The sequence below is a fragment of the Homo sapiens genome, chromosome 9 (genome assembly GCF_000001405.40).
Source record: "Homo sapiens chromosome 9, GRCh38.p14 Primary Assembly".
Lineage (NCBI taxonomy): Eukaryota > Metazoa > Chordata > Mammalia > Primates > Hominidae > Homo > Homo sapiens.
In genome coordinates this window covers 39,263,078-39,284,254 of record NC_000009.12, presented here as the reverse complement: position 1 = coordinate 39,284,254, position 21,177 = coordinate 39,263,078, and the positions used below count along the sequence as shown (strand labels likewise).

The following is a 21,177-nucleotide window of genomic DNA, read 5'->3' as shown; positions in this document are numbered from 1 at the left end:
AAGGAGGCATTCCAGATTGACGGAGGCTAAGAAAACAAGGCAACTAAATACTACTCTGCATTAAATGCTTATGTTATAAAGGACATGATTGGGAATTGGTGCAACTTGAACAAGATTGGGGATTAAATATTGGAACTTTATCCATGATGACTGGGATGATCATATTATGGTTATATAGGAGAACATCTTTGTTGTAGGAAATGTACATTGAAGTATTCAGGGGTGATACAGCATATTAGCGTAGTTCTTCCATGTTTTCTGTAAATTGGTTTCAAAATCAAATGGTTACTTTAAAAAACCATTCAAAATTGTGTTTAAAGGAAACATGGACCAATAGAAAAACTCAGAATAAGTAAATGTAGTTAAATTGATGCATTTTACCTAAGAGATGTAGATTAAAAATAAAGAGGCTGAAAAAAAAACAGTTATGAGAAATAACAGTTCATTTATGTATGTCTCTAAATCAAATTAGCCTGGATTTCTGAATGACAAAGATGTGATTGGCACTGGGATTGTTCCCCATTCTTTTCGGGAAGTTTATTGCCTAGGACATCTGTATCAGTCTTCAAAGTACTTTTTAAAGCTTGAATATCTGAATGAACCCGTCAGACTGACTGTTATCTGGTCTTCTGTAATGGGCTTCCGCACCTTTGACGAGACTCTTAGCTGAAAGGTTGCTTGTCCCTAGGCCCGGTTGCTCCACGTTGTAAGAGCATTTGCAAACGCTTGGTTGTACATGATTGTGCACATGTCAAGTCTGCTCTGTCACTGTAGAAAAAATATTCCTTTTCACTTGACATATAAAGCATGGAATTGTTTGTTTTAAATGTCTTTTGTCAAGGATTTCATATATCTGCTTGATGTGTTGTACTGTATAAAAGACAAGTGTGAAATTCATTGCTTACTATGATAGCCTTAACAGGACTACAGTAAATCTAGTTTTCTAAAAAATGGAGTATATGCTTAGCTTGGTTAAAATTTTATAATGAAATGACTACTCTGGTAATAAAAATTAAAAAATATCATAAAGTGGGGGCTAAAAAATGATACTGCATGTGTTCCAGTTAATGAACATTTTTGTTGTAATAATACGAAGAGTGATTGAAATCTAAAAACATTTGAGATTTTAAAATAGTTTTAACCTTATAACTACAGGATTGTAATTTAAGTAGCATACCTACTTAATAAGGCAGCAATTAAAATTATTGCTAAGAATTAAATTACCAAGAAGACATGGTCTAGTATGTATTGCCTGGGCTGTGGTTTGAATTACTTTTGATTAAGTATAATCACATTTTTTGAGAGTATAAAAACAGAGGATATTACTTGCTTCTAATTCACAGATGTGTTTATGAACCATTGGCAATTAAAGCATTTGCAATTGAGGCCCTAAGAAAATTTTAGGTTAAAATAACATGTTGAGTTATGCCTTATAACTCAGTATATGCTTATACTTTATATGCTTTACGGAGTTTTGAATATATAATATATATATATAATAGTATATTTTTCCAGGAAATATATAACTTGTAGTTCCTTGACTTATTTTGTAACTAAATCCCATGGAAAAAAGTTTATTGAATGTCATTGTTTCTCAGGCAAATGTAGAGTTAGGAAAATGATATATATACATATTGGGAATCTTTTAGAAGGCTTGGACTTGGTAGCTCAAATCTTCTACAACCTTGAGCTTCAACTTTCTGGCCGGTTCAAGAGATCTCTTCACTGTCCTTTTCATGTAAAGTCAATGTTTATGGAACACTAGACCAAAATGGAAGGATTCCTTTGGAAACTGAACAAACAGTTGAATTAGTCTTTGACTTGATGGAGTGATTTGATCTAAAATATTACCTAACCGTTTTAGATATCTGTTCAATCAGAGCTGCCTCCATATACGCAAATGATAATTTGTCTTGGATTTTTAGATATCTTAGCCCTCAGACAAGCTAATAGAGTTTAAATTGAACCTGGTGTTTTAGGGACAGTTGAATTGTTGGGATGCCCAGGAAAACAGTCACATTTTTCTATAAGTATGTGTTTATTTGGCTGGAATGTGGGTGAGGAAGAAGTTATATGTGAATTAAAAGAAACATTGTCTCAATGTCACATGTTAAATTAAATTAAATTACAGGCAGAACTAAGCGAGTTTACGATTGCTGCCGCTGGGAGCAGAGACTATTTTCAGCTTACATTTATAACAGAAGGAGGGATTTAAAATATAGTATTATGCCTACCCTGATACAGCTAACCTCCTCCACCCGCCCCTCCACACACATACAGCTACATGCTTACCCTCGAACTATGAAAGAAGGGTGTCTCTCAGGCATCCTATATTTAACCCAGCTTTGGACACGTCCCTGGAGTCTAGTCTTTTTGAACACAGCAGTGAAGATAAGGAATGGGGAGGGGGCTTTGATTTCAAGACCACTAGATATAGTAGATTCCTAATTTAATTTCAAAGACAAATCAATTATTAACACAAATACAAAGAGAACAGTATTTTAAGCAAAGCTTCTGTTGTGGCAGATAACCTTTTAAGGTGTCTCCCAGTTGGGTTTCTATTTTAGATGACTTTTTGAAGAATATATCTCTGTAATAGAAATATGTTTGATGATTCTCATCTTTAAGAACTTCACATTTGCTATAATTAAGATATTTATGAATTTATTGTAAGAAGATTGGTAGAAAAAGTAATGCAACATCAAATGGGAAAATAAATATATAATATTATATAGCTGTTCAAATATAGGGTTTATGATTCTTGAGCTAATTTGAACTGCTGTACAACACCAGGAGAAAAGTCCACAGCTGTGTTAAGAAAGCTCTTATAAGCTTATGAAATTTTATAGCACAGGCTGTCACAGAACCTACAATTTACAAACATTTGTAAAAGTTAGGAAAGTTTTGGGTTCCTCAATAGAAAATGATGTTGCTTAGCTTTAAGAAAGTAACTAATTTATCTCTTTTTATTCTTGTCCACTAACAAAGGAACCCAAATGGTCTTTTAAAATTATAATAAAACTAAGCTAGTAAAATATCACATAGATTTTGAGATACTGTGAATAACCATAGAAAATAACAATTTGTTGTTCTTCATGTATAAAAATAAGCTTAACATGCTTATCAATACATCTTGAACCATAAGAGATTTATTTCAGCAGTGTTGCCAAAGGGCAAGCAATGCCTGCTGCCCGTAGAAAACTTTGAATTCCCTAAGCTCAGGGCTCCTCACTTGTCATGTAACCCACTGCGTGTGCACACATCCATCTGTGCCCATCCATATTCCCCCAGAGGACTTGGAGGCAAGGAAATTGATGCAAATATGCTGATGCTCATATTGTTTGCTATGCTGTAAGTAATACAGTCCTTTGCTTTGACCCAGGAGTCTTCTGCCGCAACGATGAAACAAACTGGCAGACTCATTTGTTAGCTTGCAAGTAGGGTAAAATCTCTCCTCACGGTTCTTCACAGTGTACTTGTCTGTGCAATGGTCATCTTCTTCATGAATATAATTATAACATGATATAAGAAATAGTGAGCTCTTACCTATAGATAAGCAAACATTGCAATATAAAAATAGCATATGTTATTTCATAAATCACAGTTGACACATTCTAGAGAAGAGATTGGGCAGCCTTTTTTGGATGTCACAGTTGATTCTACTGTCCTCATTTCTTCTTCTCTTTTCTGGGATATGAGGAAGAATTGCTGTGACAAAGCTCATCTCCTGGGTGGCCAGGGTTGATTGTCAATTTGTTTTGTTCTTGGAAGGCTAGGCAGATGTCCTCTACCTCCTTCTTTATGCCATGTGACGTTCATCCCTTTGATTTTCCTGTTGCATTTTATTTAGTATTTTAGAATACTGCCCACATTCCATTCTGGAAAGTCCACTCTCCCAGCCAGAGTTTTCTTAGACAGCTGAGCCTGTGATGGGCGTTTGTGCAGGTAGCCTCTTTTAGAAAGTGAGCTCATAAAAGAGGGAAGAATGGAATAGAGAAGAAAAATCCACCAAAAGGGGGTGTCATTGAGCTGGTCACTTCTGTGAGCAACTGGGGCATGAACTCCCTGGGAAGCTCTCAGGAAGCCGGTAGAATGTGTTTCACAGCTGTGCCTCTGAGAGACAGCAGGGGGAATGCATTTATCCCAAGTCCTGTCCAGGGATTCAGCACTGCCCTTGGGGCGCTAACTCCTGGCTCTAAGGAGAGGAATATGAATGAATGGGTTGCGACTGGGTTTCTGCAGGCATCACAGAGGCCAAGAGACAGAGAACTCGAACACTGAACTTTTTAATTTTTTATTATTTTATTATTATTATACTTTAAGTTATAGGGTACATGTGCACAACGTGCAGGTTTGTTACATATGTATACATGTGCCATGTTGGTGTGCTGCACCCATTAACTAGTCATTTAGCATTAGGTATATCTCCTAATGCTATCCCTCCCCCGTACCCCCACCCCACGACAGTCCCCGTTGTGTAATGTTCCCCTTCCTGTGTCCATGTGTTCTCATTGTTCAGTTCCCACCTATGAGTGAGAACATGTGGTGTTTGGTTTTTTGTCCTTGCGATAGTTTGCTGAGAATGATGGTTTCCAGCTTCATCCATGTCCCTACAAAGGACATGAACTCATCATTTTTTATGGCTGCATAGTATTCCATGGTGTATATGTGCCACATTTTCTTAATCCAGTCTATCATTGATTGACATTTGGGTTGGTTCCAAGTCTTGTTATTGTGAATAGTGCTGCAATAAACATACGTGTGCATGTGTCTTTATAGCAGCATGATTTATAATCCTTTGGGTATATACCCAGTAATGGGATGGCTGGGTCAAATGGTATTTCTAGTTCTAGATCCCTGAGGAATTGCCACACCGACTTCCACAATGGTTGTACTAGTTTACAGTCCCACCAACAGTGTAAAAGTGTTCCTATTTCTCCACATCCTCTCCAGCACCTGTTGTTTCCTGACTTTTTAATGATTGTCATTCTAACTGGTGTGAGATGGTATCTCATTGTGGTTTTTGATTTGCATTTGATTGCCAGTGGTGATGAGCATTTTTTCATGTGTTTTTTGGCTGCATGGATGTCTTCTTTTGAGAAGTGTCTGTTCATATCCTTTGCCCACTTTTTGATGGGATTGTTGGTTTTTTTCTTGTAAATTTGTTTGAGTTCATTGTAGATTCTGGATATTAGCCCTTTGTCAGATGAGTAGGTTGCAAAAATTTCCTCCCATTCTGTAGGTTGCCTGTTCACTCTGATTGTAGTTTCTTTTGCTCTGTAGAAGCTCTTTAGTTTAATTAGATCCCATTTGTCAATTTTGGCTTTAGTTGCCATTGCTTTTGGTGTTTTAGACATGAAGTCCTTGCCCATGACTGTGTCCTGAATGGTATTGCCTAGGTTTTCTTCTAGGGTTTTTATGGTTTTAGGTCTAACATTTAAGTCTTTAATCCATCTTGAATTAATTTTTGTATAAGGTGTAAGGAAGGGATCCAGTTTCAGCTTTCTACTTATGGCTAGCCAGTTTTCCCAGCACCGTTTATTAAATAGGGAATCCTTTCCCCAATGCTTATTTTTGTCAGGTTTCTCAAAGATCAGATAGTTGTAGATATGCGGCATTATTTCTGAGGGCTCTGTTCTGTTCTGTTCTATATCTCTGTTTTGGTACCAGTACCATGCTGTTTTGGTTACTGTAGCCTTGTAGTATAGTTTGAAGTCAGGTAGTGTGATGCCTCCAGGTTTGTTCTTTTGGCTTAGGATTGACTTGGCAATGCGGGCTCTTTTTTGGTTCCAAATGAACTTTAAAGTAGTTTTTTCCAATTCTGTGAATAAAGTCATTGGTAGCTTGATGGGGATGGCATTGAATCTATAAATTACCTTGGGCAGTATGGCCATTTTCATGATACTGATTCTTCCTACCCATGAGCATGGAATGTTCTTTCGTTTGTTTGTATCCTCTTTTATTTCCTTGAGCAGTGGTTTGTAGTTCTCCTTGAAGAGGTCCTTCACATCCCTTGTAAGTTGGATTCCTAGGTATTTTATCCTCTTTGAAGCAATTGTGAATGGGAGTTCACTCATGATTTGGCTCTCTGTTTGTCTGCTATTGGTGTATAAGAATGCTTGTGATTTTTGCACATTGATTTTGTATCAAATCAAGATACAAAATCTTGAATTTGAGATTTTGCTGAAGTTGCTTATCAGGTTAAGGAGATTTTGGGCTGAGACGATGGGGTTTTCTAGATATACAATCATGTCATCTGCAAACAGGGACAATTTGACTTCCTCTTTTCCTAATTGAATGCCCTTTATTTCCTTCTCCTGCCTGATTGCCCTGGCCAGGACTTCCAACACTATGTTGAATAGGAGTGATGAGAGAGGGCATCCTGTCTTGTGCCAGTTTTCAAAGGGAATGCTTCCAGTTTTTGTCCATTCAGTATGATATTGGCTGTGGGTTTGTCATAGATAGCTCTTATTATTTTGAGATAGGTGCCATCAATACCTAATTTGTTGAGAGTTTTTAGCATGAAGCGTCTTTGAATTTTGTCAAAGGCCTTTTCTGCATCTATTGAGATAATCATGAGGTTTTTGTCTTTGGTTCTGTGTATATGCTGGATTACGTTTATTGATTTTCGTATGTTGAACCAGCCTTGCGTCCCAGGGCTGAAGCCCACTTGATCATGGTGGATAAGCTTTTTGATGTGTTGCTGCATTCGGTTTGCCAGTATTTTATTGAGGATTTTTGCATCAATGTTCATCAAGGATATTGGTCTAAAATTCTCTTTTTTGGTTTTGTCTCTGCCAGGCTTTGGTATCAGGATGATGCTGGCCTCATAAAATGAGTTAGGGAGGATTCCCTCTTTTTCTGTTGATTGGAATAGTTTCAGAAGGAATGGTACCAGTTCCTCCTTGTACCTCTGGTAGAATTGGGCTTGTGAATCCATCTGGTCCTGGACTTTTTTTGGTTGGTAAGCTATTACTTATTACCTCAATTTCAGAGCCTGTTATTGGTCTATTCAGAGATTCATCTTCTTCCTGGTTTAGTCTTGGGAGGATGTATGTGTTGAGGAATTTATCCATTTCTTCTAGATTTTCTAGTTTATTTGCGTAGAGGTGTTTATAGTATTCTCTGATGGTAGTTTGTATTTCTGTGGGATTGGTGGTGATATCCCCTTTGTCATTTTTTATTATGTCTATTTGATTCTTCTCTCTTTTCTTCTTTATTAGTCTTGCTAGCGGTCTATCAATTTTGATGATCTTTTCAAAAAAACCAGCTCTTGGATTCATTGATTTTTTGAAGGGTTTTTTTGTGTCTCTATTTCCTTCAGTTCTGCTCTGATCTTAGTTATTTCTTGCCTTCTGCTAGCTTTTGAATGCGTTTGCTCTTGCTTCTCTGGTTCTTTTAATTGTGATGTTAGGGTGTCAATTTTAGATCTTTCCTGCTTTCTCTTGTGGGCATTTAGTGCTATAAATTTCCCTCTACACACTGCTTTAAATGTGTCCCAGAGATTCTGGTATGTTGTGTGTTTGTTCTCGTTGGTTTCAAAGAACATCTTTATTTCTGCCTTCATTTCTCAATGTACCCAGTAGTCATTCAGGAGCAGGTTGTTCAGTTTCCATGTAGTCGAGCGGTTTTGAGTGAGTTTCTTAATCCTGAGTTCTAGTTTGATTGCACTGTGGTCTGAGAGACAGTTTGTTATAATTTCTGTTCTTTTACATTTGCCGAGGAGTGCTTTACTTCCAACTATGTGGTCAATTTTGGAGTAAGTGTGATGTGGTGCTAAGAAGAATATATATTCTGTTGATTTGGGGTGGAGAGTTCTGTAGATGTCTATTAGGTCTGCTTGGTGCAGAGCTGAGTTCAATTCCTGGATATCCTTTTTAACTTTCTGTCTCGTTGATCTGTCTGTTGTTGACAGTGGTGTGTTAAAGTCTCCCATTATTATTGTGTGGAAGTCTAAGTCTGTTTGTACGTCTCTAAGGACTTGCTTTATGAGTCTGGGTGCTCCTGTACTGGGTGCGTATATATTTAGGATATTTAACTCTTCTTGTTGAATTGATCCCTTTACCATTATGTAATGGCCTTCTTTGTCTCTTTTGATCTTTGTTGGTTTAAAGTCTGTTTTATCAGAGACTAGGATTCCAGCCCCTGCTTTTTTTTTGTTTTCCCTTTGCTTGGCAGACCTTCCTCCATACCTTTATTTTGAGCCTATGTGTGTCTCTGCACGTGAGCAGGGTCTGCTGAGTACAGCACACTGATGGGTCTTGACTTTTTATCCAATTTGCCACTCTGTGTCTTTTAATTGGAGGATTTAGCCTATTTACATTTAAGGTTAATATTGTTATGTGTGAATTTGATCCTGTCATTATGATGTTAGCTGGTTATTTTGCTCATTAGTTGATGCAGTTTCTTCCTAGCCTTGATAGTCTTTACAATTTGGCATGTTTTTGCGGTGGCTGGTACTGGTTGTTCCTTTCCATGTTTAGTGCTTCCTTCAGGAGCTCTTGTAAGGCAGGCCTGGTGGTGACAAAATCTCTCAGCATTTGCTTGTCTGTAAAGGATTTTATTTCTCCTTCAGTTATGAAGCTTAGTTTGGCTGGATGTGAAATTCTGGGTTGAAAATTCTTTTCTTTCAGAATGTTGAATATTGGCCCCCACTCTCTTCTGGCTTGTAGAGTTTCTGCCGAGAGATCCACTGTTAGTCTGATGGGCTTCCCTTTGTGAGTAACCCGACCTTTCTCTCTGGCTGCCCTTAACATTTTTTCCTTCATTTCAACTTTGGGGAATCTGACAATTATGTGTCTTGGAGTTGGTCTTCTCGAGGAGTATCTTTGTGGCATTCTCTGTATTTCCTGAATTTGAATGTTGGCCTGCCTTGCTAGGTTGGGGAAGTTCTCCTGGATAATATCCTGCAGAGTGTTTTCCAACTTGGTTCCTTTCTCCCTGTCACTTTCAGTTACACCAATCAGACGTAGATTTGGTCTTTTCACAGTCACATATTTCTTGGAGGCTTTGTTCGTTTCTTTTTACTCTTTTTTCCCTAAACTTCTTTTCTCGCTTCATTTCATTCATTTGATCTTCAATCACTGATACCCTTTCTTCCAGTTGATCGAATTGGCTACTGAAGCTTGTGCATGTGTCATGTAGTTCTCGTGGTTTTCAGCTCCATCAGGTCATTTAAGGTCTTCTCTACGCTGTTTATTCTAGTTAGCCATTCGTCTAATCCTTTTTCAAGGTTTTTAGCTTCTTTGCGATGGGTTCGAACATCCTCCTTTAGCTCGGAGAAGTTTGTTATTACCGATCATCTGAAACCTTCTTCTCTCAACTCGTCAAAGTCATTCTCCATCCAGCTTTGTTCCGTTGCTGGCGAGGAGTTGCGTTCCTTTGGAGGAGAAGAGGTGCTCTGATTTTTAGAATTTTCAGCTTTTCTGCTCTGGTTTCTCCCCATCTTTGTGGTTTTATGTACCTTTGGTCTTTGATGGTGGTGACGTACAGATGGGGTTTTGTGTGGTTGTCCTTTCTGTTTGTTAGTTTTCCTTCTAAGAGTCAGGACCCTCAGCTGTAGGTCTGTTGGAGTTTGCTGGAGGTCCAGTCCAGACCCTGTTTGCCTGGGCATCACCAGCGGAGGCTGCAGAACAGCAAATATTGCAGAATGGCAAATGTTACTGTCTGATTCTTCCTCTGGAAGCTTCGTCTCAGAGGGGCACCTGGCTGTATGCGGTGTCAGTCAGCCCCTACTGGGAGGTGTCTCCCAGTTAGGCTACTCAGGGGTCAGGGACCCACTTAAGGAGGCAGTCTTTCCATTCTCAGATCTCAAACTCCATGCTGGGAGAACCACTACTGTCACCAAAGCTCAGTCGGAAATTCAGAAATCACCTGTCTTCTGCATCATCCATGCTGGGAGCTGTAGACTGGAGCTGTTCCTATTCGACCATCTTGGATCCAGACCTGTCTATTTTCTTAGCCTTATGAGCTTTGTCAAGAGAGTGCAGCTTCTTCTGGTTTTTCTTATGAGTATACAAATATCTCTTTGATTGCATTTAGCAATGTTTGAAAGTCTTAATTTGTTCTGGGCTTTAACTTACTTTGCTTTATATTGCCTCCTTTTAATGTTCCTTTTCATTGTAAGTATTCCTTTTTTTTTTTCCGGTATGGAGTCTTGCTCTGTCACCTAGGCTGGAGAGCAGTGGCACAATCTTGGCTCACTGCAACCTCCGCCTCCTGGGTTCCAGTGATTCTCCTGCCTCAGCCTCCCGAGTAGCTGGGATTGCAAGTTCCCGCTACCATGCCCAGCTAATTTTTGTATTTTTACTAGAGATGAAGTTTCACCATGTTGGCCAGGCTCGTCTCAAACTCCTGACCTTGTGATCCGCCCATCTTGGCCACTGTGCCCAGCCTCACTGTAAATATTCTTTCCTTGGTTACTTTGCCCATTTCTCTCTTCTTCAGTGGAACATGTTTTTTCTGGATTTCATTTGGGTAGCTTTTCACATTTGATGAACGATGTTGTCCTCAATCATAACAACAGTGTCTCTTTGTATAGTGGTTGCTCGGAGGTCTACAAGGTAGTATTATGTAACATTTCCCATTGTGTTCTAAATACTCTTATCTTTTTAAGTTAAAAAATTGAAGTCAAAGCTGCCTCTAAAGTCACACACATAGCTTGAAATAATAGAGTTGAAATTTGGACATAAAACATATTGCCATGGGATAATGCCTGCTGTTTTCCTAAAGTTTTAAAATTATCTTTTTGACATCTCAAATAAACATTTGTCTATTGACAGGGCTCCTTCCTTGGGCACAATAAATTCTAAGATGTTCTGGTTATTATTTTCTCAAGGATTCTGACACTGCCCCCTTACTAATCATATTAGAGCCAAGTACGGAGTAGTGAACAAGTTCTGATAATTTGCAGGTATATTACTTTGGGCTGAAAAAAATCTAGCTGATGTCATTGGTCTTGTTGGGATCTGTCTTCAGAATGCAATTGGAGTGCATCTCTTAACCCTTACTTAAGTATCACTGAAGTTCTCTTTCTTCAGCTCCCAGATGCTCCGTAGCCTGCTCTGGCCTGTGAGGTCATGACGTCCCTTTAAGATGTTATAAGTTGAACACAGTCTTCTTTCCATCCCTCTGTAACATGTCTTGGGAAGAAGCCATATCCTTCTCATACCTTACATTCTCATTCAGACGCTAGTTCTGTCAACTCTCAGAGGTGCATAGAAAGAATTATTATTATTTTTAATTTTTTTAGCTTTTAATTTTGTGGTTACATAGTAGGTGTATATATCGATGGGCTACATGAGATGTTTTGATACAGGCATGCAATGTGAAATAAGTGCATCAAGAAAAATGGAGTATCCATCCCCTCACGCAATTATCCTTTGAGTTGCAAACAATCCAATTACACTCTTTAAGTTATTTAAAAATGTACAATTAAGTAATTATTGACTATAGTCACCTCTTGTGTTATCAAATACTGGGTGTTATTCATTTTTTCTATTTTTTTGTACCCGTGGAAAGATCATTTATTGCCCTTTATTAGCAGCTCATCTTTATCACTTATATTCCCACAGCTGTGGATACATTCGTAATAACAATTATTAGTGATGACATCTCCACATGATTTTCTTTTTAAATTATATGCACCTGTGTTGTTGTATTTTTTTCTGTGTCGTGTCTGATGTCTTTCTGCAGGACTTAATTTTGTTATTTGGTTTCCTCTCTTTCTACTTAGCAGTAAGTCTCAAAAAAATAGGTTCATCTTATTCTCATATTATATACTTTAGCCAAAAATCTATAGTTTAAAAATAGGTATTGAATTTATCACAGAAGTATAATTTAACTACATAGCAAGAAATTTAGAAATAAAAGGAAAGAGAACAAGATCATCTATTCAGCTTCCTCAGGGAAAAGGAGCTGATCTATGTTTAATCCCTTCTGTGTTTCCAGAGCTGTGTTTGTTGGATTTAACACCCATTATCTCATCTCAATCCAGCAGATCTCTTTGTCCATTATCTTCTCATATGCAGATTTTCCCATCCCATCTCCTTCATCTCTCCACATGTTTAAATAGTTCTTATATTTATTGTTGTAATGACTGTAGAGTAGATCATCAAATTAAGATGCTTAAATTTATGTAAACTTGAGCGGGCATGGTGGCTCACGCCTGTAATCCCAGCACTTTGGGAGGCTGAGGCAGGCGGGTCACGAGGTCAGGAGATCGATACCATCCTGGCTAACATGGTGAAACCCCGTGTCTACTAAAAATACAAAAAAAAATTAGCCTGGGCAACAGGGCAAGGCTCCGTCTCAAAAAAAAAAAAAAAAAAAAAACTATGTAAACTTTCCTCTAGGTCTTCATTTGTGTTGTGTCTTTTGTAGTTCTCATAGAATAAAGTCCTTGGTCCTGGTATGTTAAAATTGGTATGCTGTTGTTATAACTTTATATTTGTAGTGCTGTAAGTCACTTGAAAACACCAATGTCAGGAGGTATTCAATGTTCCTATGCTAGGTTTTCTTTAACAAGTCAAAATATCATCTGGAAGGAGAGACAACGTGTAACCCCTATCTCCTACCCCCTGTAAATTCTAATTTATAGAATTTAAACCTGTTTCTATGTGTCTTCTTCCAGGCCTCATCTGTTCCCACAGGTAGACTGTAGGAATTGTCTGTCATGTCCCGGGAACCAGACACTCATCAGCTGGTCATGCCAGCCTCTCTTCCTCACCCCAGAATCATCAGTCAGCAGGCAAGGCTCCTTTCTCGGGAGTGAGGTTCTCCTGTTCCCTCTCATCCCCATCTGCCGCCACACGTGGCTGCTGTGTGGCTCCCCGTGAGTGAGGTGCTGCTCCTTCTCCAGAGGTGTAATTCATTTTCCATGAGACAGACCTCAGTATTTCAGAAGAGTAAGCCTTACTGGGGCCTTCACACATGTGAGAAGCCTTCAGAGCAGAGACAAAACTTGAGTTGAGCCCTGAAGATAATAAGTGATGGGAACTCGCAGACAGGAGGGGCTGCAATGTCATCGGGTGAGCGGTCAAGGAGCGTTGGTGCATGCATCCCACATTCAGGAAACAGTGAGAAGACCACTCCGATTAAAGGAGGAAGCACATCTGAGAAATGTGTAGGGGATTTGGCTGTAGTGCAGAGAGTGACAGGAAACAGGCGATGGAAGGAATTGAATGCCAGGACCTGAAATTTGAATTTCAGGACAGGTGCAGTGGGGATCCATTGGAGCTGGTTGATATGGCTGTTTGTGTGACTTGCACTCAGCAATAGTTTAAAACCGTTTCTGCTCTGGTGATACGTAAGGTGTGTGTGTGGCTGGGGACAGTCAATAAGGAAGCATTGGCTGTAAGGATTAGTTAGGTCGTTAACATGAGGACCTACAGTGAGATGATGATCATGATAATGGAAAAGCTGCCATATACACACAAAAAGTACATAATCCTTGGCAATTTATTGGCTGTAGAGGGAAGATAAGGGTGGGGGCTCAGGACAGTGTACTTATTGAGCATTTTTCAGTTTCAGGTGACCAGAATCTAAGATCAAATAGACTTGAACAATAAAGGGAACCAAAGTGTCTTGATTGAAGCCAGGCTGAATTTAGGCAATCAGATTCTTTCATCAGCAGTCTGCCTCTTTCCTTCTTGCAGTTTTATTTTCGTCTACAACTGGCCTCATTCTTGGGCAGCTCTGTCTATGCCATAGCTTCAGGCATACCGTTTACCAGCTTAGAAGCGTGACTGTTTTCCTTTATTTCTGTTCTTAGCAATGTTGAGTTCTACAGATATTATGCCTTTATTTGTTTATTCTACTCAGTAGGATAAGCTTCACAGGAGCAGAGACTTTTTCTGTTGTTTATGGTTATATCCCCAGAACATAGGGGCACACCTGGCACAGTATAGATTTTCAACAAATATTTGTTGAATGAATGAATGGGTATTTCTCCCAAGAGTTCAAGCCGAAAGTCCCAGGTTCTGCTGTTATTCATTCGAAAGTCCCAGGTTCTGTTCCCATTCATTCAGCATGGGCTTCCTGACCATCCTGGAACCAGTCCTTTCCAGTAGGACAGGCATGGCATTCAGTTGCCAGGCCTGAGGCGTGTCCCTGTGCTGGCCCCAGGTGGTAGGGTGAGCCCCCTTCAGACCCCATGGAGTGAGATGTAGGGAAGACAGTGACTGAAGATAATCGAATGGAGATCAAGACCATGTAAAACAGAAGTTTTTATATGGAAAAAAGTAGATTTTTACATTGACCATTACTGCTTATGTTCACTGTGAGTAAAATGTGCTTTTTCCGAAGCATTCCCTCTAGATAGCAATGCACAGATCAATTCAGATTCATAACAAGATGAACTTTTGGTACCTTCTAAATAAAAGCTTTATTTAACCTCTCATTAAGATAATGTTAAGGTACATTAAGAACTGAAAAGACAGGTGATGAAATGGGAAGAATGGAATAGCGCCGTATCCAGATGAACATCCAGACGTGGCCTGAAGAAGGTATGGGCACCCCCTTCCCTGTTTGTGATTCGATTCCCGAGGCCGTGCTCCCTACTGACTCAATATGTGGAACCAGAGAGAAGCCTGCTGTGGAGTTAGTGAATTTGACCTAATCGAGACAGTCTGAGAAAGGACAGGAATCTTTTTTTTTCTTTTTTTTTTTTTTTTAGAACAAAGAGGTTTTCTATACATCTGTGATAACACAGTAACCATCTGTTGAACTCTTTAATAGTAGGCTTTGTGTTTTTCTGATAATTCGAAGGTGGTTAAGGTGCCGTCCCCTCATATTAGCAGTTCGGTGGCCCCTTCCCCTCTCCTTCCATCCTTAGGTTCCGCCAACACAGTGGTTAGCTCCTTTCACAGTGAGGAGCAAGTGCAGCCACAAGCATGGGGAGAGCCACAGCCTGGCAGAGTGGCTTAGCATCACGAAGCCCTTCTGAGAAGGAATTGAGTATCTGTGTGATTCAAAGGGATGTTAATCGTATTTTCGTTGGAACTCTCCTGCATTTCCCCTAAAATATCCAATATGTAATTCCATATAAACAGTGTGTTCATTTCCTATGGCCCTTGTGAGAATTGACCATAAACTGGCTGACTTAAAGCAAAAGAATTTATTCTGTCATAGTCTGGAGACCAGAAGTTCCGCATCAGTATCCCTAGTCCAAAATCAAGATGGGCCACACTCCCTACGGAGGCTCTAGGGGGACATCCATTCTTCGTTTCTTCCGGCTTCCTGTGGTTGCCCGTGTGCCTCACCTTGTGGGTGCCTCACTCCATTTTCACACCCTCTTCTCTTTTGTGTGGGGCTCTGTTCATCCTCACCTTTATCTCTCTTACAAGGGCAGTTCTGATGGTATTTAAGACCCAGCCAGATAATTCAAGATAATTTCCTCGTCTCAGGGTCTTTGATCACATCTGGAGAACCTTACCTTCTGAAGTAACCTTCACAGGGTCCCGGGATTGGGGCATAGACATATCTTTGGGAGCCACTGTCAGCCTGTCCTAACACATGTAAGATTCATCTCTGATAAAGGCATTCAACCACAAGTGCAGTGTGGTTTGGTCTTTTAATAAAATCCTTTAAGTAATACTGTAATGAATTCGGAGCTCCATCCGGAGATGCCAGGAGGTGTCCTCATTTGAATGTAAAGCTCCTCCCCATAGCATCAGTTGTCACCCCTCCTTTTGGCTTTTCCCATTTCCTCTGCAGATACGGACAAAATCTGTCCATGTATTATACATGCATTCTTTTTTTTTTCATTCTTATTATCAGATCCCAGAATAATGAATTGCTGTTTGAAAATGCATGGTTTATGTTTATCTTTTCCAGAAGCACTTTTATACGCATCTCTCCCTAGTAGTGTTTGCTCTTTCAGAGGCTGGTTTTGTTCCTAAGCAATTAAGATGCTTCCCTGTGTTTTGGAATAAATAGTAGTATCTAAATATTTTGCTCTTCTGTTTATTTCCTATAACAGATATTTACACATCTCCCTCCCATGTTAGATTCTGGACTTCTTGAACCTAGAACCATGTCTCTCTTTATGCCCCATAATGCTTTGCACATGGTAGGTGCTCAATACACTTTTATTAAATAAGTGCAAGAATTAACATACTCAAATGAAATGCTGTTTTGAAAAGTATATCATCTCTGTCTTAGGTAAGGGCAATTCCTCAAATTGATTTTTTAATCATTTCATATTCATGTGGTAAAAATTGTCGTAAACTAGCACATCTGTGAATGCAATGTTGATTTGTATACAGGAAGCCCTTAGGCTAATTTTAATCTTCTGCTGTCTTTCATGAACATAATACTAAGAAATGGTTTCTGTCCCAAACCCTTCATAGGCACCATGCTGGGAATCACAAAGCATGCTGGGAATACTTGTCAAGGAGAAGTGGGAAGCTAAGAGTGATGCCAGGCAGGGGTCAGGGGACAAATCAAGACCATAGAGTGGGGAGAGAGGAACCTAGGCAGAGCTAATCGCCGAGACTAAATCAACAAGCCTAGGGAAGTGCAGCAAGCCAGAAACCCTCTGGTCTAGCGTGATTTGGAAAGGCAGAGCAAGTTCCTGCAATGCTCAAGTTATCAGGCAAAAAGGAGGAGCCTCCATCTCCTGTAGGCAAGTAGCCCGCAGTGATTCCCTCTGGAGGGGTCTACAGAGTGGGCTTTTTCCAGTTCATCACTACAGGTGTTGCCTTTCATGGGTCCTGGCTTCACGCAGGTAACTCTGACCTGAACACCTGGTGCATTTCACTTTTCCCATCCCCCACAGGTTCTGTGCTGGGGCACTGTGAGAATTTCTAGCCGCTATTGAGGTTTGGGCACACAATTCACACTACCTCTGTGTGTGTGTACCTAAAGAACCTAAGCATCAAATTGAGTTTAAAGTAGTGTTGGATGGGTGATGTACCCAGACATCTTGCAGAATTGAGAAAATGTGGGACATTAGGGAACTTTGAGGGCTAATGGACCTGTTTTATGTCTTCATTATGGTGGAGGTTACAAGGCTGAATGCATTTGTCAAAATGAATAGAGCTGTACACTTTAAAAACATCAAATAAATTCTCTGGAATTTTACTCTCTGTAAATTATACTGCAATGTAAATTTTAAAAATTGTAAAAAATTAAAAAAGGAGTGATGATTGCCATACATCCTAGAATATATTCATATATATTTTTGGACTATTATTTCTCCCAAGCTGCAATCTGAGTGTTAACCATATCACGGTATTTTTCCCGGCAGCTGACTGTGATGCCCCACTGGCCTCTGCCTTGCCTAGGTCATCCTTCAGCAGCTCCTCAGAGCTGTCCAGCAGCCACGGCCCGGGGTTTTCAAGGCTTAATCGAAGAGATGGTGAGTCTGCCTTTTTCCTTGTATTGCTCCTTGGTGACTCTCATTGGATTTTCATTTAACAAAATAATTATAATTCATTTAACAAAATAATTATAATTATAATTATAATTGATTATTACTTTGCAGAAGGAAGTAAAATTCAGAATAAGCATATTTGTTCACATTTGAAACTCCAAGAATGTATTTGACAGGAATAAGTTGATCACTTCGGCTTTCTGGTCCTGCTGGGTTTCCCTTGGTACGATCTTTGTGTGCCTTGAACATGTCACACCTGACTTTGACAGTGTTTGAACTCTTTGTATACCCCTTGCAATATCTGAGTATTATTTATCGAAGACCTTAGATTCTGTCATGTCCTTTTTTTTACCTTGGATTCTTTTGTTCTGCCACAGTATACATTTTGTTGTCCCAGATTATTTAATTATCCCTATTTGGATGAGAAAATTGGCAAAGTAAAGAAGCGTCTAAAAAGATTTTTATTATGTTTTAACTACAACTCTTAGTTTATTTCTTATTATGGCGGACTTGATTCTCTCCTTAGCATCCACTGTAGAGAAATAACCATGTAAAATGGTTTATTCATGCTCCACTGTGACTATTCTTTTGTGTGGGGCTCTGTTCATCCTCACCTTTATCTCTCTTACAAGGGCAGTTCTGATGGTATTTAAGACCCAGCCAGATAATTCAAGATAATTTCCTCGTCTCAGGGTCTTTGATCACATCTGGAGAACCTTACCTTCTGAAGTAACCTTCACAGGGTCCCGGGATTGGGGCATAGACATATCTTTGGGAGCCACTGTCAGCCTGTCCTAACACATGTAAGATTCATCTCTGATAAAGGCATTCAACCACAAGTGCAGTGTGGTTTGGTCTTTTAATAAAATCCTTTAAGTAATACTGTAATGAATTCGGAGCTCCATCCGGAGATGCCAGGAGGTGTCCTCATTTGAATGTAAAGCTCCTCCCCATAGCATCAGTTGTCGCCCCTCCTTTTGGCTTTTCCCATTTCCTCTGCAGATACGGACAAAATCTGTCACCCAGGCTGGAGTGCGGTGGTGCAATCTCAGCTCACCGCAAGCTCTGCCTCCTGGGTTCACGCCATTCTCCTGCCTCAGCCTCCCAAGTAGCTGGGACTACAGGCACCCGCCACCAGGCCCGACTAATTTTTTGTATTTTTTTTTTTTTTTAGTAGATACGGGGTTTCACCATGTTAGCCAAGGTGGTCTGGATCTCCTCACCTCCTGATCCATCCACCTCGGCCTCCTGAAGTGATAGGATTATAGGCGTGAGCCTGTAACCGCGCCCAGCCTTTTTTTTTTTTTTAACTCCCTGTTGCATTTCTTGGTGTTTTCTGTATTTGAGCACATTTAATGCATTGCACATTGGACCAAATAAATATGTTCTGGCATTTGTTATAGGCAGTATGGCTATGAAACATGAACAACTTAACTTTTTGTTTTTCTGTTTATGTTTCTTAAGTCTGTGATTTCATTTGTTGCAGAGATATGGGCTCTGTTTTGTTACTTTAGATTCTATTGCTGCAGAGCCTCAGTGGATGGTCATTATCACTGAAACAGTGACTAAGCCTGGGCACAGGGGGTAAAGGAAAACAAGAGCAATCTCAAGCCATAGCTCTTCTTGATGTCAAATCATATTTTGTACTAAAGTACATGATTATGAGGATTCTTTATCATAGGGATCATTTTTATTCTTAGTTCATGTTCCTGTAACTCCTCGTGCAAAAAAGCATGATATCAATCTTAATAAAATTTATTTTCATGTTAATGAAGTTAGAAAAACAGGCTTACTTTAGTTAGCTATCAACTGAGTTTATTACAAATTCATTGTTGTTGCTTTTTTTAATTGGTTTTGACTTTTTTCTTCTCCCTCATGGTAGCCTGGAGTATTCATCAAAGGAGTTCCAAATTGGGAGTGATTTATTGAAGGCTATAGATTATCTCTAGTGTTTTATTATCCTTTATTAGATTCAGAATGGTCTATGGAAGAGTGACTGAACAAATGTTCTGATCATAAATAATTAAACTAACAAATAATGACCCCCTGTCTCAGACATTAAAGCCTTTCTCCAGTGGAGTGTAAAGATCTCAGAGCTAAAAATTAACAGGCAGAAAACAAGTAGTTTCCCTGTTGTGCAGCCCAGTGCCTTGTACCCATGTGATGGGAAGACGCCATGGAAACAGCTGCGATAGTTACTCAAGCCTTAGCCTGAGGGGTGAGAGGGGAACAAGGTAGCTATGCATCCCGTCTGTCCCAGTGTAAAGAATCAAAATGGACTTTTTGGAGGTGTCTTTCTTCATGCCTCTTGGATACCACAAGTAAACTAGTTCTTCCATGCCACTAAATGATGAACCCATGGGCCAAACAAGTTAATGCACTTTTATAAGCAACTTATTTAATTCCCTTTAATGGGGAAGACTCAGTTTTTCCACCAAAGGTTTCATAAGTTATGAAGCATAATCCAGAATTACTTTCAACTTGTAAAAATGTATTATCATGAATATTGCACAGATTGGATTATAACTAATTAAATATGTTTTTGCTTTCTACATCTTCATAGTTAGAATTTCAGTATAACCTCTAACATGGTATTGGCTAATTTGAGGATAAAGTGACCTGTTGTAAATTTATTTATTTATTTATTTATTTATTTATTTATTTATCGAGATGGAGTCTTGCTGTGTTGCCAGGCTGGAGTGCAGTGGTGCAATCTCGGCTCACTGCAAGCTCCACCTCCTGGGCTCAAGTGATTCACCTGCCTCAGCCTCCCGAGTAGCTGGGACTGCAGGTGCCCGCCACCACACCAGGCTAATTTTTGTATTTTTAGTAGAGGAGGGGTTTCACCATGCTGGCCCAGATGGTCTCAATCTCCTGACCTCGTGGTCTGCCCGCCTCGGCCTCCGAAAGGCGTGAGCCACCGCGCCTGGCCGACCTGTTGTAAATTTAAGAGGCTAAGGGTCAGTGTGCATTTCTACACCTTTCACATTGCATCACTTGAAGCTAAGAAGAACTCTGTGGTATATTACATGTAAAAATAAGACTGAAATAAGCTGACAAAGACTTAGGGCAAAAAAATAAGGTTTTGAGTAGAATTGAAGAAAACATTTTGATAATAATATCAAAGAAATTCCGAGATGCCATTGAAACCATTTAATTATTTAAACATGTTTGTTATTCCTTTTTCTGTAACTTCTTCTGACACTAATCGAAAATTTCAGAAAATTAACCTATAGTTTAAAATGTTTAAAATATGAGACTTCAAACGATACACTGGCACATAGTAAATTCTTAACATTTCAAAATGAATAATGAATGATCTGTATTAGGAAATGAAATCTTTATATGATACACACATACAGTTGTAAAACTTGGTTTTCTCCATAATCAATAATTGGCTTTCAGAGGCAATTTAATTATGCAATGGTTGTCCTTAGTTTTATTATACTTTATAATAAATGGATCGATGCTTTGTTTAGTTGACAAATACAGACATAGGTGAATTAATTTTACCTTTTTCCTTAGGCCTGTCTTCTCATGTGCTTATAGCTGTGTCTGTGTCAAATGAATTTGTGAAAATATAATCTCTTATTTTAGACAATTTCAACAATTAATAAACACTGTGAAGTTGTTATTCCATGACTGTTTGAGATGGAAAACCAGCCGTTTTGGGTATCATTCACATACTGGCTAAAGACATACATTTATTTATGCATTTGCTGCCCTGTGTCTCCTCTGCATTTATTATATTAGCAGTTTCAGTTTAAAGTTTATTTTTCTGTAATTCAGATTCCTTGCTTCTT

The 21,177-nt window shown here is 39.2% G+C and overlaps 1 protein-coding gene across 2 annotated transcripts in view; it reads left to right on the top strand.

Annotated features, from left to right (window-relative positions):
* The window catches only part of CNTNAP3 (contactin associated protein family member 3), a 223,458-nt gene that overhangs the window by 3,913 nt on the left and 198,368 nt on the right, over positions 1 to 21,177 (top strand). For both annotated transcript variants that reach the window (NM_001393379.1, NM_033655.5), the window contains exon 2: positions 17,249 to 17,359. In NM_001393379.1, the coding sequence (NP_001380308.1) occupies positions 17,249 to 17,359 (111 nt within the window). The remainder of the gene's footprint in view (positions 1 to 17,248; positions 17,360 to 21,177) is intronic.